Below are 16,771 nucleotides of genomic sequence, written 5' to 3'. Positions count from 1 at the left end.
TTATAATCCTTTGGGTATATACACAGCAATAGGATTGCTGGGTCAAATGGTATTTCTGGTTCTAGATCCTTAAGGAATTGCCACACTGTCTTCCACAGTGGTTGAACTAATTTACACTCCCCAAAGTAGGAGAATTTCTATGGATGACAAGTGAAATGCCTCCATCTCGACAGGGAAAGTACAAGAAAGCATGTCTTCTAGCTTAGAGACAAAAACCCTTTAAGGCAGTCAGAGCCAATGGCATGGTTTACCTTTTCTGTTTTTATTATAACATTGTTTTGCCCAGAACCTACCACCCATTTGCTGAGGAAAGTGTGCTGGCTGACTTTGACAGGCAAGTGGGGCAGGAACAGGTGAAAAGGAAGAAATCCACTATCAGTATTTCATCATAAACTGGGCAGAACAGAGCCTCAACCTGGATCTGCCTTTACCACTTCAAGTGCTGTGAACTCTTGGCTTGTGCCACATTTTCTCTCAATGGGCCACACTTGCTTTCTTTACTGACATTTATGCCTAGTGCAGTGGAGAGACAAGAGGATGGGCAGCAGGCCAAGTAGTTCTGGGTGGCCCTGTGGTGCTGGACTCACCGTAGTCTTGGACTTGCTCTCTGACCATACGCAAGTCACTCCTCTTTCAATTTCTGCGCCTATAAAATGCATGACTCACCTCACAGACACCGAGAAATACCAAGTGTTCCTGTCTTTAAAGAGAAAGAGTTATTAAAAAAAAAAAAAAGCTACTGTAGATGTACCTATCAGGCTATTACTAGACCAAAGCTAAAACCAAGGCCAAAGCCAGCTTTGATTTCATTTCAAGGCCTGGAGCAAGGAACCTACTCTCAGAACTTTAAAGAAGCATGCTGTTTAAAGTCAGCTTCCCAGCCTGCAATTTAGATTCAGACTCACACACACCCCACAGTGGAGACCTTAGTTCCCCTGCAGGTACACACAGTAGGACTTGAACCAGCAACTTTGCCTTTTTAGCTAAGCAGTAATGGATTGATTGCATTTACAGCCAGAGCCTGATTGGCGTGCCGGCCATATTTGCTGACAAAATTCAGTCACGTGATCTGCAAAAGGATGTTTTAATTATTTGTGAATTTATTTCTATGAGAAGTTTACAAAGGAATAAATATTAAATCAAATGCATTTATGCATTTAGCAAGTCACTCTATTTAAGAACAAATTGTATACTCAGGCCATCATGAGCTCCTTAAAGACCACTGTGTTTTATTTATTTTTAAATCCCCATCTTTAAAATACCCTTAAAATAGTTGGCGATCAATAAATGTTGACTGACTAATTAGTTATTCCATCAAACACGATTTCTATAGTCTATTGCAGGGATAAAAGGGAAATAGAAGATGTAGTCTTTGCCACCAATTGGAGGCGATAGGGCAAACAGATTAAAGAGACATACAGCGAAAGGACATTGCACAGTGAAAGCCAATTTGCATTTATATGGAACTTGCCTGGTTGGGCAATATTGATCACTCATTCATTTAATCTTTCATTTTTATCATTCAATAAATATTTTGTAAGCACTTTTCGATGAGATAACAAAGAAGAAGGCTGTGTTAACTCTGAATTATGCTCAGTTCTCGAGTCTTCTTTGACTAAACAGGCAAGAAATGGGCAATTCCATGGACAGTGCCCAGAACTGCTACTTTAGAGAAGCAAAAAGATACTACAAGGTTTCAAGGGAGAAAATGGATCCAGTCTAGGGGTGACAGGCGGGTCCATCTCAACCACCAAAGAGCACCTGCTTTCAGTGACATCATTTCAAACATGAAGAGTAAAGAAGGGAAGGGCAACGTGGAATTTAGGAAAAAAGAACTCCTTCCAAACTCAGGAACTTTAATAGTCCGTAAGCAGGAATTTTGACAAATGCTTTTGACTCAGAGATTTAGAATTGTGGCTTAATAAAACTAATAAACTAAAAACCAATAAAAATAACACAAATGACCTTCTACTGTGGATAAAGGCAACCCCACTATCATTCATTTCACTATCAGCTCTGTCCAGAGGAATAAAATTCACCTTCAGCCCCCTCTTTACTGTGGATTCCTAAAACTGTGGCCAACCAACTCCCAATTGCCCAATTTCTCCTGTGTCTTCGGTGGGGTTCCCAAGAACAGGAGGATTCTTGAGCAAGTGATTCATCAGGGCAGTGTTCTCAGGAGGAGGCGAGTGAGGAGGCAAGAGAGCACAGGGTGGGGAAAGTCAAGGAAGGATGTGGTCTCATCTGGAGACCAGCTTCAGGCTGATCCCTCCAGGGAGCTTGGGAAACCCAAAGTGCACCACACAGGCAATGCCTCCTTGATGCAGGGGGCTGAGCTTTTGTATGTCTGGGCCAGACTGCCTTTTGGGAGCCTTGACTCCCAGGAGAAGGAGGGGCTGTGAGTTGTCATCAGCCAGCAAAAGGGACCTGGATGGGGCACTCCTAGCACCTACCATGGTGAAATATACGAACCGCTGAATACAAGTGAGCTCAGTGAAGGGAGATGCTAATCCCCAAACCATACATCTTGCCATTATATTGTAACAATAAGTAATTCAAAATCAAAGCTGTTTCTACATCCCCCAAAGCACCTCAGACTCAACATATCCCAAACCAAAGTGTCACCTCACGTCCCCCATGTCACCAAACCGCTTCCCTGGTATTCTCTTTGTCGATGGGATTCCATCATAATGAGGTCACTCAAGCTACTGACTTCTCTCTCTCTCTTTTTCTCTCTCTGCAATCTGTTCCACATTTAATCAATCACCAAGTCCTACCAGTTTTACCTCTTAAAGGTTCTTAAACATATTGCCTGACTCTCCCTCTTCATTACCACTGACCCAGGGCAGATCCTGGTCATATCTCACCAGATCTCCCTGCCTCCAAATGCGTCCTCCCCAAATCCAACACCTCCCACCCCATTCCTGGCTAAAATGTTCAGTGATCTCTTTCTACAGAAATGTCCAAGCTGCTGACCTTAACTTTCAGCAGCTTCCCTGAACAGGCACCAGCCCATCTCACTGACTTATTTTTCAGCACTTTCTGACTTGCACTTTATTTTCTAACCACACTAAACTGCTGACTGTTGCCTTGCCCACAGAATGCTGCTCTCCATCCAGGCCTGGACTGATACTGTTCCCTCTTCTGCTAATGCCTTTGTCCTCTTTATCTGGCTCGCTCAGATCAGATGGCACCTCTCCAGGAAGCCTGCTGTCCTCCTCCTCCTCCTCTTCCTCAGACTGGGTTCAGTATCCTTCCCCTGTGTGGTTGTTTTTTTTTTTTTTTTTTTTTTTTTGAGACAGAGTCTCGGTCTGTCGCCCAGGCTGGAGTGCAGTGGTGCAATCTCGGCTCACTGCAAGCTCCACTTCCTGGGTTCACGCCATTCTCCTGCCTCAGCCTCCCGGGTAGCTGGGACTACAGGCGCCCACCACCACGCCCGGCTAATTTTTTGTATTTTTAGTAGAGACAGGGTTTCACCATGTCAGCCAGGATGGTCTTGATCTCCTGATCTCCCACCTCAGCCTCCCAAAGTGCTGGGATTACAGGCGTGAGCCACCGTGCCTGGCCCCCCTGTGTGTTTTTTTTGTCTTTTTTTTTTTTTTTTTTTTTTTTTTGAGATAGAGTCACTTCGTCACCTAGGCTGGAGTACAGTGGTGAGATCTTGGCTCACTGCAACCTCTGCCTCCCGGGTTCAAGCGATTCTCCTGCCTCAGACTCCTGAGTAGCTGGTACTACAGGCATGCACCACTACACCTGGCTAATTTTTGTATTTTTAGTAGAGATGGGGTTTCTACTAAACCCCCGGGCTGTTGGCCAGACTGGTCTCGAACTCATGGACTCAAGTGATCTGCCCACCTTGGCCTCCCAAAGTCTTGGGATTACAGGCATGAGCCAGTGTGCCTGGCGCCCTTTGTCTTTTACATAGCAAGCCACTGCAATTGCTACATAATATTACAATTATGTGCCCCCTTCCCTAGACTGTGAGCTCCCTGAAGTTAGGAAATGCTGTGCCTTATTTGTATTTGTATCCTAGGTGTTTAATATAATAACTGGTACTTCGTAGGTACTTAATAAATGAATGCTGAATTGATGAATATTTATTGAGCCCTCCCACCCCCTTGAGACAGTGTGCCATTTGAAGAAACTAGATTAGTGTAAACTCATATATAGTTCCCTAAGGTGGCAGGAGGCACTTCCAACACTAAAAGAACAGTACCAGACAGCATATATTTCATTTCAGAGCTGCAGAAGGTGATACCATCAACAACTTGGGGATGCGGGATGAGAGAGATCAGAAATGGCCTGGGAAGATTTCAGACCAGGAAGAGAGCAGCCCAGAAGGATGGGTTACAGAGAATTGGTGGCTATCTCACCCTGTTACCATGCTATGGTTTACCCACCACCAAACTGGTGGAAAAGTGAAATAGTTATTGATTCATTTGTCAACCTTAAATAACATGATTTAGAACATATGATTAGGTATAGAGTTTATTGGAGCTCAAAGCCAGGAATAGCCATCCAGGAAACACGGACTTCAAAGAAGTGGAGCCAGTGATCTAAAGTAAAAAAAGTTAAAGTCGGCCAGGTGTGGTGGATCATGCCTGTAATCCCAGCACTTTGGGAGGCTGAGGCGGGCAGATCATGAGGTCAGAAGATCGAGACCATCCTGGCTAACATGCTGAAACCCCGTCTCTACTAAAAATACAAAAAATTAGCTGGGCATAATGGTGGGCGCCTGTAGTCCCAGCTACTCAGGAGGCTGAGGCAGGAGAATGGCGTGAACCCGGGAGGTGGAGCTTGCAGTGAGCCGAGATCCCGCCACTGCACTCCAGCCTGGGCGACAGAGCAAGACTCTGTCTCAAAAAAAAAAAAAAAAAAAAAAAAATTAAAGTCTTGCTTATACAGGCAGAAAACAAAGAAATTTAGTAGGATTAGAACATTTCATCTTAGACAATGAGATAGTTATGAAGTCTTTGTGTCAGAAAGGTAAGAAGGAAGTGAATCTATAATGAAGATCAATAGTGAAGGTGGAAGGGATCTTCCCTGGCACCCTTCAGTCATTTACAACATTTTACAAAACAATGTGGGTAAGAAAGAAGGCTAATCTATAATCAGAGAAACAAAGGTTACAGCTGCCTATTTATGTAACTTGAGTCCCATAATCACACTCCTTCAAGGTTCATAATATTTTAAAGTTCCAACAGCCTTGATTTTGAAATACTTATTTTCACACATTCAACAAATATTTGTTGAGCATGTACAATGAGGCGCAGACCTAGGTGCTGGGGGATATAGCAACAAACTCAGAAGGCCTTATGTCTGCTCTCATTGAGCTTACCAGGTGGTGGGGAGACAAAACACAAAAGTAAGCAAAGAAATGTATCATTACACATAGTAATAAGTCCCTGTGAAGGGACTAAACAGGATGGTGGGAGAGAAAATAGCAGGAGGACAGGGAAGGTCTCCCTGAGGATGTGGTTTTAAGCTGAAGTTGGCAAGGACAGGAAAGAGAGGGAGGAGGAGCATCCCAGGACACAGGCCCGAGGGACTGCCCATTCAAGAAACCCAGAGGCCAGTGCAGCCTCAAAAATGTGGGCTGACGGGACACAGTGGCTCACAACGTAATCCCAGCACTCTGGGAGGCTGAGGCAGGAGAACTGCTTGAGGTCAGGAGTCTGAGACCAGACTGGCCAACATAATGAGACCCTGTCTCTACAAAAAGTAAAAAATAAAAATTAGTGGCCAGGCGTGGTGGCTCACACCTGTAATCCCAGCACTTTGGGAGGCCAAGGCAGGCAGACCACCTGAGGTCGGGAGTTCAAGACCAGCCTGACCAACATGGAGAAACCCCATGTCTACTAAAAGTACAAAATTAGCTGGGCGTGGTAGCGCCTGCCTATAATCCCAGCTACATGGGAGGCTGAGGCAGGAGAATCACTTGAACCTGGGAGGTGGAGGTTGCAGTGAGCTGAGATCCTGCCATTGCACTCTAGCCTGGGCAACAAGGGCAAAACTCCATCTCAAAAAAAAAAATTAGCTGGGCTACTTGGGAGGCTGAGGCAGGTGGATTGCTTGAGCCCTGGAGTTTGAGACGACGGTGAGCTAGGATCGCACTACTGCATTCCAGCCTGGGCAACAAAGCAAGATCTTGTCTCTAAAAATATAAACATTTTAAAATAAAAAAAATAATAAATTTGAAAAGTAAATAACAATAATAATTTTTTAAAGGTGGGCAAATGAAAGCAAAGCCCGACAGTATCTACAGTGGGGCAGGCAAAGACAGAGCAGGTGGACCCAAGTCAGCCAGGATAAGTTTAGATTTTGTTCTAAGTACTACAGCTGGCTGAGCAAGAGCTTTAAGACAGAGATGATGTGGTGTGATGTATTAATCAGTGCAGTTCTTGCGCTGCTATAAGGAAATACCTGAGACTGGGTAATTTATAAAGAAAAGAGGTTTAATCGGCTCACAGTTCTGCAGGCTGTACAGGAAGCACGGCAGCATCAGCTTCTGGGGAAGCTTCAGGAAACTTACAATCATGGTGGAAGGCAAAGGGGAGTAATGAATCTCACATGGCCAGAGCAGAAGGAGGAGAGAGACAGGGAGGTGCTGGACACGGTTAAACAACCAGATTTCAAGAGAACTTAACCCCTACACAGCACCGAGGGGAGACTGTGTTAAACCATTCATAAGAACTCTGCCTCCACGATCCAGTCACCTCCCATCAGGCCCTACCTCCAACGCTGAGGTTACAATTTGACATGAGATTTGGATGGGGACACAGATACAAACCATGTCATGTGATTTACATTCATATTGGAATACTCAGGCTGCTGGGAGGAGACAAGATTGAAAAGGAATTTGGGAAGAAGGGAGAGCCATTGGGGGTGGTTAGGACTAGGATTAAGCTATTTAACTTTTCCCTTTGGAAAGATTATTATTTACCCCATTTTACAGCTGAAGAAACTGAGCTTCAGAGTTGGGATGGAGCCCAAATTTTGTTCTATCCCTGAATTGGTTCTTAAATCCCAGCTGCCTCCTTTTTTTTTTTTTTTTTTTTTTTTTGACAGGGTCTCATTCTGTTGCTCAGGCTGGAATGCAGAGGTGCAATCACAGCTCACTACAGCCTCAACCTCCTGGGCTCAAGTGATCCTCCCACTTCAGTCTCCCGAGTAGCTGGGACCACAGGTGTGTGTCACAATATCTGGCTAGTGTGTGTGTGTGTGTGTGTGTTTTGGTAGAGACAGGTTTTCATCATGTTGCCAAGGCTGGTTTCAAACTCCTGGCCTCAAGTGATCTGCCCGCCTCAGCCTCCCAAAGTGTTGGGATTACAGGCGTGAGCCACCACGCCCGGCCTCTTCTGTAATTCTTGTGTTCAGTTGCACATAACTTCCAGACTGGCAAAGATGAAAAGGAATGATAATATCCATTTTTGGCAAGGAAGTGGGGGAAAAGGGACTTCTCACCCACTGCAGGTGAGAATGTGAATTCATTCTGTCTTTCCAGGGGAAATCCAATGACTGAAAGAGGCGCATCCTCCTACAGCCACCATGTCCAGTTTTAGGAATCCTAAAAATAAATAAATAAATGATCTACTGAGCCAAGATGTTTGAAAAAGTCTTGTTTGTCAGTATTTGTAAGAGTGAAATAGTGAGAAAATGGGGTTACTCAAAGATGCACGGTATGATCCCATTTTGTAAAATGTATGTTTATACATATAGAAAAAATTCTGGAAGAGTCTATGCCAAAATATTAAGAGGAGTTATTTCCAGATATTGGCATATGTGGAGATTTTGTTGTTGCTGTTTTTTTTTATTTTTTTATTTATTTTATTTTATTTTATTTATTTATTTTTTGAGATAGAGTCTTGCTCTGTCGCCCAGCCTGGAGTGCAGTGGTGCGATCTCGGCTCACTGCAAGCTCTGCCTCCTGGGTTCAAGCAATTCTCCTGCCTCAGCCTCCCAAGTAGCTGGGACTACAGGCGCCCGCCACCACGTCCGGCTAATTTTTTTTGTATTTTTAGTAGAGATGGGGTTTCACCATGTTAGCCAGGATGGTCTCGATCTCCTGACCTTGTGATCCGCCCATCTCGGCCTCTCAAAGTGCTGGGATTACAGGTGTGAGCCACCGCACCTGGCCTGTTGCTGTTTTTTAAAAATCTGTTGTGTCTAATGTTTCTAAATCAAAAGAAGTTCACATTTTTAAATTAATAAATAATAATTGTACATAGTCATGAGGTATATAGTGATGTTTTGATATTTATAATATATAATGATCAGATCACAGTATCAGCATATCCATCATCTCAAACACAAAAATGTTAACTTTTTATTGAAGTATAACATACATACATAGAAAATAGCACACATCTTATGTTCACAATCTGATGAATGATTACAAACTGAACACAATCATGAACAACACATTGATCAAGAAATAGAACATGACCAGACTCTTAGAAGCTCTCTTCATAAAATCAGACCGAACCTACTTTGCTATGTCTGGCTTCTTTCACTCCAGATTATGTTTATGTACATTGAGTGCACATGGACACAAAGAAGGGAGCAACAAACACGGGGCCTACTTGAGGGTGGAAGATGGGAGAGGTGTGAAGATAAAAAAACTACCTATTTAGTACGATGTTTATTACCTGAGTGACGAAATAATCTGTATACCAAACCTCCGTGGCTCGTAATTTACCTATATAGCAAATCTGCACCTGAGCCCCTGAACCTAGAATAAAAGTTAAAATATAGGCCGGCATGGTGGCTCATACTGTAGTCCCAGCACTTTGGGAGGCTGAGGTGGGTGGATCACCTGAGGTCAGGAGTTCAAGACCAGCCTGACCAACATGGTGAAACCCTGTCTCCACTAAAAATACAAAAATTAGCCGGGTGTGGTGGTGCATGCCTGTAGACCCAGCTACTCTGAAGGCTGAGGCAGGAGAATCGCTTGAACCCGGGAGGCAGAGGTTGCAGTGAGCCAAGATGGTGCCATTGCACTCCAGCTTGGGCAATAAGAGCGAAACTCTGCCTCAAAAAAAAAAAAAGTTAAAAAATATACGTGTGTGTGTGTGTGTGTGTGTGTGTGTGTGTGTGTGTGTGGTGTGTATATCTACATGTATATGTATATATAAATATAATTTTTAAAAAACGATTATGTTGGCTGGGCACAGTGGCTCATGCCTGTAATCCCAGCAGTTTGGGAGGCCGAGGCGGGCGGATCACCTGAGGTCAGGAGTTCGAGACCAGACTGACTGACATGGAGAAACCCTGTCTCTACTAAAAATACAAAATTAGCCGGGCGTGGTGGCACATGCCTGTAATCCCAGCTACTCGGGAGGCTGAGGCAGGAGAATCGCTTGAACCAGGGAGGCAGAGGTTGCATGGAGCTGAGATCACACCATTGCACTCCAGCCTGGGCAACAAGAGCAAAGCTCCGTCTCAAAAAAAAAAAAAAAAAAAAAAAAATATATATATATATATATATATATATATACACGTTTATGTGATTGATTCTTCCATGTAGCTGCATTTAATTGGATTAAGTTAATCAATTGATTAAAATCTTAGAATGGTCACACCTTGTCTTTTATAAATACAACACTGCAGAATCTGTGATAATCATAAGCATTTTGTCACCTGATGAAGCATTTTTCATCTAAACTAGCTCTAGGCATTATTATTATCCTCATTTAATAGAAAAGGGGCCTGGGATTGAAAGGGTAATTTGCCTTGCACAAAGCTAGTAGGTGGCCAAGCCAGGACTGCCTCTTATCTAAATCCATGCCCTTTCTGCCCCACCCCATTGAATTAAGAGCAAAGGTAGCAGTGGCTTAAATGAAAGGAATGTTTCGCTCACCATTAGGCCATTTAGACATTGAGACAAAGTTACCAGGGAAAGTTGTCTAAACTTCTTTCCTGAAAATCATTGCGAAAAATTGGGAAGGCAAATATCCCATAAATATTCATCCAGCTTCAATATTAATTATCTCCAGAGAGAATTTCTTCTGCTAATGCTATGATATCAACATTTCTCATTTAATACTATTAATCATAATGCCTTCATGATTACATTGCCTATGTAGTATATGCTTACATATCATGTGGATTTTACATTTGCATATGCCCACTTTCCTCTCCAGCTTAATGAATATCAATGATTGCAGCCTCTTAGCAATAAAGGAGTGTCACTTCTCATTCACAGATGAGGAAATTGAGGCCCACTATCAAATAGATGGTTACGGCGGAACTGGAGCAAAATTCAGGTCTTCAGCCTCCCAGTCCGTGACTCTTTGGAGCGCACATAACTACGTAAAATGAGAAACTTTGTTTCTACTTGGAAACATAAACAATGATAATCCTAATTGTTATTAAAACTGTGAAATGTTTTTTTTTTTCCCAAGACAGTAGGGCTGCATGACTTAGTTTTATGTTATAAAATCATGATATTGTACCCTAAGATAATGATCCTTCTTTGAGACATGATTCAGGTGTCTCTGCAGGAACTAATTTCACAATCCAGTATACTTCATAGGAATTTCGGAAGAAATTAGGTAAATTAGCTGAGAAAACAAGAACTTATCACCTCCAATATTGACTTAAGCGCTAATAACACAAGTAACCTTACCTTATAGAGCTGTGGGACTTCAAAAGCAGAAGTGAGGTCACAGAAGAGCTTGGTCTAAACTTGTCCCCTCCTTCCCCATTCCTACTTCTGCTTCTGTGGATATTCCTCTTTTTTGGTAATTTTAGAGAAAAAAAAACAAAAAACAAAAAACAAACATGAAGACTCACATCCAGAGCCTTCCTACCTCCGAATGTAGCATTCACTGCGCTGAGAGCTTTTCCCCAGGAAGTTGGGCTTTGCTCTCACCTGGTCACCTTTCAGGAATCCCAAAAATACAGGGTCTGTTTTCCCTGCAAAAGAACAGTATGTGCAGGTCAAAGGACAACAGATAGGCCTATTTATTTTCCCAGAGACCTTGGCCAGGCCCTAGTGTCTTCTCTTCCCTTGTCCTCAGGTTGTGGGTCAGCCTCAGGTCATGGGTCAGGTCGGGCTTGCACAGCCCTGATCAGGTCCCAGGGCTTCCCTCCCCACCCTCCCTGGTGGGTTTTCTAGGCTTCTTCTTTGAGAGCCTCTATGAACCTCTGTCCTCCCAGTTACCTTTATAAATAGACAATGGGGAAAAACAAATATTTCAATAAATAGTTGAATAAGGTCTCAGAGCTGTTGCCCTTCTAATGACTGTTAGATACTAGAAAATACCTCAAATTTCAGAGCTCTGGGCCATCCCCTGTCCTAGAGCTGGGCCCCCTAGGGTAGCGTTGTGGTCTGGGTACACACCTTGAATGCTGAGTAAATACAGAACTTTCTGGGCTTCTGGTGAGAACTCTTAGAACACGCTATATGGCACGAATATTTTCTCTCCTAGAGAAGACGGCCGAGCCCTGGGACTCTTGTCTGCTGACCCAGACTGTAACAGAGCCTGACAACTCACAGAGGTCTTTTTTTGTCCTCAAGCTCAGAGAACTTCAGGGCCAGCTGCCTTCGTTTGGGTGAGAGGGTGGTGCACAGCTTAGGGAAGGCTGAGCAACAGGAGCTGCAGGGAGGGTGTGGCCTCCTTTGTGGGGTCAACAGTGGGCCTAAGTCTGGGCTGGGTAGTTGGTGAGAGTGAAACTGGGTTGATTGGGAGAGGGACTTATGGCAGTGCCCCTGTCTGAAAGAGGAGCAGGGTCTCTCGGAAGACCCATAATCCTGATCCCTCACTGAAACCCAAACGCCTTGAGAAATCCTCTGCATTGCTCATGACTGACATTTAGTATAGTAATAGTTGTGTTAGGCCCTTTGAATGATAAACACCACATTCTGGATAAGGATGATCTCTAGGAAGAGGCCATGGGAGAAACATATCAATGAAGTCTCATATCCATAATGTTGTCATTTTAAATGCAAGTCTTATTTTGGGATAATTTATGGAAAAATTGCAAATGTAGTCCAAAGAGTTCCCATATACCCCTTCGTCCCATTCCCCCCAGTGTTGACATCTTACATAACCATGGTACAGAAATGAACATAACTCAGAAATTAACACTGGTACAACTAAACGTTAGATTTTATTCAGATTTCACCAGTTTTTTCACAAACGCCCTTTTTCCATTTCAGGATCCAATCCAGGACTCGACATTACACTTAGCACACCTATATTGTTTTATATGTTTGAAAAGTTTGAAAAAATGTTGGCAAGGCCGGGCGCGGTGGCTCACGCCTGTAATCCCAGCACTTTGGGAGGCCGAGGCGGGTGGATCATGAGGTCAGGAGATCGAGACCATCCTGGCTAACAAGGTGAAACCCCGTCTCTACTAAAAATACAAAAAATTAGCCGGGCGCGGTGGCGGGCGCCTGTAGTCCCAGCTACTCGGGAGGCTGAGGCAGGAGAATGGCGTGAACCCGGGAGGCGGAGCTTGCAGTGAGCCGAGATTGCGCCACTGCAGTCCGCAGTCCGGCCTGGGCGACAGAGCGAGACTCCGTCTCAAAAAAAAAAAAAAAAAAGAAAAAAAAAGAAAAAGAAAAAATGTTGGCAAACTTTCTGGCAAGAACAGAAACTTCATTATATTGCTTTCTGGCCATTATTGGAGGGAACATAGTGCTTATGAGGGAGGCTCTGGAGATAAGACAAGCAATCCAGCTTCAAATTCTGGCTCAAGCACTCTCTAGCTGTGTGCTTAATCTCTCTGAGCCTAAATTTCCTCAACTCAAAAATAGGGATGATAACAGTATGTACCACTTAGGCTTACTCTGAGATTTACATGGATTAAGTCACACAAGGCAACTAGAAATTGTGATCAAGAAATGTTAGCTATTATTATTAATTGCATATGTAATTCACAACACAATTTTTCTAAAAATAGCTCCTTTGAGAGTCTCTGGAGTCCATCTTAATAAGAAATCACAACCTTCATTGTAAATCTGTTCCCCATTACAAAATTTGCTACATTGTATTGTAACTATGTGCTTCTGTATCTGTCTTTAACAGTATTGTAACTATTTGTTTCTGTATTTGTTTTTAACAATATTGTAAGTATTTGTTTCTATATCTGTCTTTAACAATGAACTGCACTTTGCACAGCAAGGCACATACAAGAGGAAAGTGTGTTTAGTATGAAGGAAGAAAGAAAACATGGAAAGTGGTTCGGTATCTCCTCCAGATGCTCTAATGGGGGACTCAGGGCCAGAGTGGGGCACAGCATTTGTTCAGATCAAGGGAGCTGCATTTTTCAGGGCAAAGATTTAGCAGGGATGAAAAGATGAAATAACAGTGTAGAGAGAGCTACAAGCACTGAGCAGAGGGGCAGGGGGTAAGTGGGTCTAGATGCAAAGAAAACGCTTTCTGTCCTTAAGAGCATGCACAGTACAGGAGCCTGGAAGAACTTTTCATCCCGGGGCTGCACTGAAAAGTCCACTGAACTCAACTGGGACAATGGCTGCAGTCAGCTTTCATCCTTGATGCTGAGTACCGAGCAATCCCTCCCACACTTCACTTTTTTATTTATTTATTTATTTATTTATTTATTTATTTATTTATCACTTGATTGAGATAGAGTCTCACTCTGTCGCCCAGGCTGGAGTGCAGTGTCCCGATCTCGGCTCACTGCAACCTCCGCCTCCTGCGTTCAAGTGATTCTCCTGCCTCAGCCTCCCACATAGCTGGGCTTACAGGCATGCACCACCATGCCTGGCTAATTTTTGCATTTTTAGTAGAGACGGGGTTTCATCATGCTGGCCAGGCTGGTCTCGAACTCCTGACCTCAGGTGATCCTCCCACCTTGGCCTCCCAAAGTGCTGGGATCACAGGCCTGAGCCACCACGTCCAGCCTTTTATTTATTTTTTTGAAACAAGGTCTCACTCTGTTGCCCAGGATGGAGTGCAGCGGTGTGCCATCACGGCTCACTGTAGCTTCGACCTCCCCAGGCTCAGGTGATCCTCCCACCTCACCCTCCCAAGTAGCTGGAACTGCAGGCATGGGCTACCACACCAGGCTAATTTTTGTACTTTTTTGTAAAGACAGGGTTTCACCAAGTTGCCCAGGCTAGTGTCAAACTCCTGGGCTCAAGCATTCTGCCTGCCTCGACCTTCCAAAGTGCTGGGATTACAGGTGTGAGCCACTGGAGGGGAACCACCCCATCTTTTTTTTTTTTTTTTTTTTTTTTTTTTTGCTGTTTGTTGTTGTTGTTGTTTGTTTGCTTTTCTGTTTTGAGCCAGAGTTTTGCCCTGTCACTCAGGCTGGAGTGCAATGGAGCAGTTTTGGCTCACTGCAACCTCTGCCTCCTAGGATCAAGTGATTCTCCCATCTCAGCCTACCGAGTAACTGGAATTACAGGTGCCCGCCACCATGCCTGGCTAATGGTTGTATTTTTAGTAGAGACAGGGCTTCATGATGTTGGCCAGGCTGGTCTTGAACTCCTGACCTCAGGTGATCCAACCGCCTCGGCCTCCCAAAGTGTTGGGATTACAGGCGTGAACCACCGCGCCCAGCCTTTTTTTGTTGTTGTTTTGTGAGATGGAGTCTCGCTCTGTTGCCCAGGCTGAAGTGCAATGGTGCAATCTCAGCTCACTGCAACCTCTGCCTCCCGGGTAAAAGCAATTCTCCTGTCTCAGCCTCCCGAGTAGCTGGGATTACAGGCACACACCACCATGCCCAGCTAATTTTTGTATTTTTAATAGAGACGGGGTTTTACCATGTTGGTCAGGCTGGTCTCAAACTCCTGACCTCAGGTGATCCACCTGCCTTGGCCTCCCAAAGTGCTGGGATTACAGGTGTGAGCCACCGCACCTGGTCACAATGTAACCATTTTTAAGTGCACAGTTCGGTGTCATTAAGTATATTCACATTCTTGTGCAAACCTCACCACTATCCATCTCCAGACTTTCTCCTCTTCCCAAACGGAAACTTTGTACCCACTAAACAACTCCCCATCCCCTTCTCCCAGCAGCCCCTGGCAACCACCATTCTACTTCCTGTCTCTATTAATTTGACTCCTCCAGGTACCTCATATAAGTATAATCATACAATATTCATCCTTTTGTGACAGGCATGTTTTACTTATCATAACATCCTCAGTGTTTATTCATGTTGCAGCATGTCTCAGAATCTCTTCTCTTTTTAAGGTTGGATAATATTCTATGATATGGATACCTCACATTTTGTTATATTAATCCACTGAGGGACACTGGGGTTGCTTCCACCTTTTGACTACTGTGAATAACGCTGCTTTAGACATTACTGTACAAGTATCTATTTGAGATTCTACTTTCGATTCTTTTGAGTACATCCCCAGAAGTGGAATTACTGGATCATATGGTAATTCTATGTTTAACTTTCTAAGGAATGGCCTTTTTATAGCAAGAAAGGGTTCTAGGGTGTGGGGGGTGGTGAGGAGGAGGGATGGTAGTTCCGAGAATCGAGATTACTTCAACATTCGTAAGAACCTCAAGGATGGTAGGTTGGAGGGATCTGAAAGTTAGTGTAGCACAGCTGCCTTCTAACACCTACAGACTCACTTCTGTGCGGCTTCCTTCTAGGGCTGAAATGCTCTGAGGTCTCCCTGTGCTGCCTTTACCTCTCGTGGCCACAGAGATAACATGAATCTGTCTGCTTTGTGACAGCCCTCAGGCCTCGGAAGACAGCTTTCTTGTCTCCCTGTCTTTTGTCTTCTAGAGAAAGCTTTGGGCTTTAATTTTTTTTTTTTTTTTTTTTTTTTTTTTGGTAGAGACAAGGTCTTGCTATGTTGCCCAGGCTGGTCTCAAACTCAAGGCCTCAAGTGATTCTCCTGCTTAAGCCTTCCAAAGTGCTGAGATTACTGGCATGAGCCACCATGGCCAGCCTGCTGTTTTTTAACTGTTCCTCCTATGACTCAGTTTTAAGACTCCTTATCCTAGGTACTCTCTGAATGAGTTAATTTCTGTACAATACTTATAAGAGTGGTACTCTAAGCGGAATGAAATACCCCTGGCAAAGTCCAAGCAGCATGGCCTAGAGAGAGTTTATCACTTCCTTTATTCTAAAGCGGGGCATCAAATGACTGCTTGGGCAGGGCAGGGAACAGAAAGGTGCAAGTCAGGCCTCTATGAGACAGCTGGGATGGGTAAAACCCAGGGTTAAATGGGAAGCATGTTGGCTTGCAAAGGTATTTACCTGGACAACAACAGCAGCCCCAACCAAAGAGAGGATTTACCCTAAGAAGAAACCATCCAGCCCACTGTTTCCTTTATTTTTTGATAGGTAGGTAAAAGGTGGATGAAGGACTGCAACCATCACAATGTGGCCTCATATGGAGCTTGCTTTCAACTAAAACCCTGAACACCTTTTCCCACAAGTGCTGCAAAATACCTCCCACCTATTCTTTACTCAAACCATTGATGTTTTCGACTCAACGGCAGGGCCTGACATGGCACTGACCTCTACTAAATGCCATGTTAGAATGATCTCATCTCTTTAACCCTTCAAGACTTGTCTAGTCTTATTCTGCCATCCTGTGTATTTAGTCCATCTCCCAACTTTATATCTTAGCTTGTCAATGCTTCTTAGCAATGATGAAGGAATTTTAGGAGCTTAATTGACTTTTTCAGTCCTCTCCATAAATTAGTGTGGTATGTACCACCTCAGCTGGACAGTTGCTCTTATATCTTTCATATTGAGCTGATTTCTGAACTCTCCCAAACAGCCAAGCATAGAATGAAGCCTTGTGAAGGATCACAACTTGAAGTCTGTC

At 43.9% G+C, this 16,771-nt stretch overlaps 1 long non-coding RNA gene across 9 annotated transcripts in view, besides 2 other annotated features; it reads right to left on the bottom strand.

The window, feature by feature from the left end:
• LOC105373215 (uncharacterized) overlaps positions 1-11,573 on the bottom strand; it is a 66,658-nt gene extending 55,085 nt beyond the window's left edge. For 5 of the 9 annotated variants that reach the window (XR_002958490.2, XR_001738539.2, XR_001738537.2 and 2 more), the window contains exons 1-2: positions 11,345-11,573; positions 10,628-10,917 (exon numbers count right to left, since the gene is read on the bottom strand). This is a non-coding gene — a long non-coding RNA (uncharacterized LOC105373215). Of the gene's footprint in view, positions 1-241; positions 701-7,288; positions 7,568-10,627; positions 10,918-11,344 lie in introns of those variants that run through there. The other 4 variants (XR_001738540.2, XR_001738543.2, XR_001738541.2 and 1 more) reach the window with 4 other exon arrangements.
• Positions 543-743: a silencer, noted in NCBI's record as "peak780 fragment used in MPRA reporter construct". NCBI's record gives its function as "represses an SCP1 promoter by STARR-seq MPRAs in K562 erythroleukemia cells {active_cell/tissue: K562}" and the evidence as "EXISTENCE:reporter gene assay evidence [ECO:0000049][PMID:32103011]".
• Positions 11,639-11,688: a silencer, noted in NCBI's record as "silent region_1993". NCBI's record gives its function as "represses an Ori minimal core promoter by ATAC-STARR-seq in GM12878 lymphoblastoid cells {active_cell/tissue: GM12878}" and the evidence as "EXISTENCE:reporter gene assay evidence [ECO:0000049][PMID:35858748]".

The sequence above is a fragment of the Homo sapiens genome, chromosome 1 (genome assembly GCF_000001405.40).
Source record: "Homo sapiens chromosome 1, GRCh38.p14 Primary Assembly".
In the NCBI taxonomy this organism is placed as follows: domain Eukaryota; kingdom Metazoa; phylum Chordata; class Mammalia; order Primates; family Hominidae; genus Homo; species Homo sapiens.
Note: the sequence above shows the minus strand (reverse complement) of the source record. Positions and strands in the feature narration are given on the sequence as shown.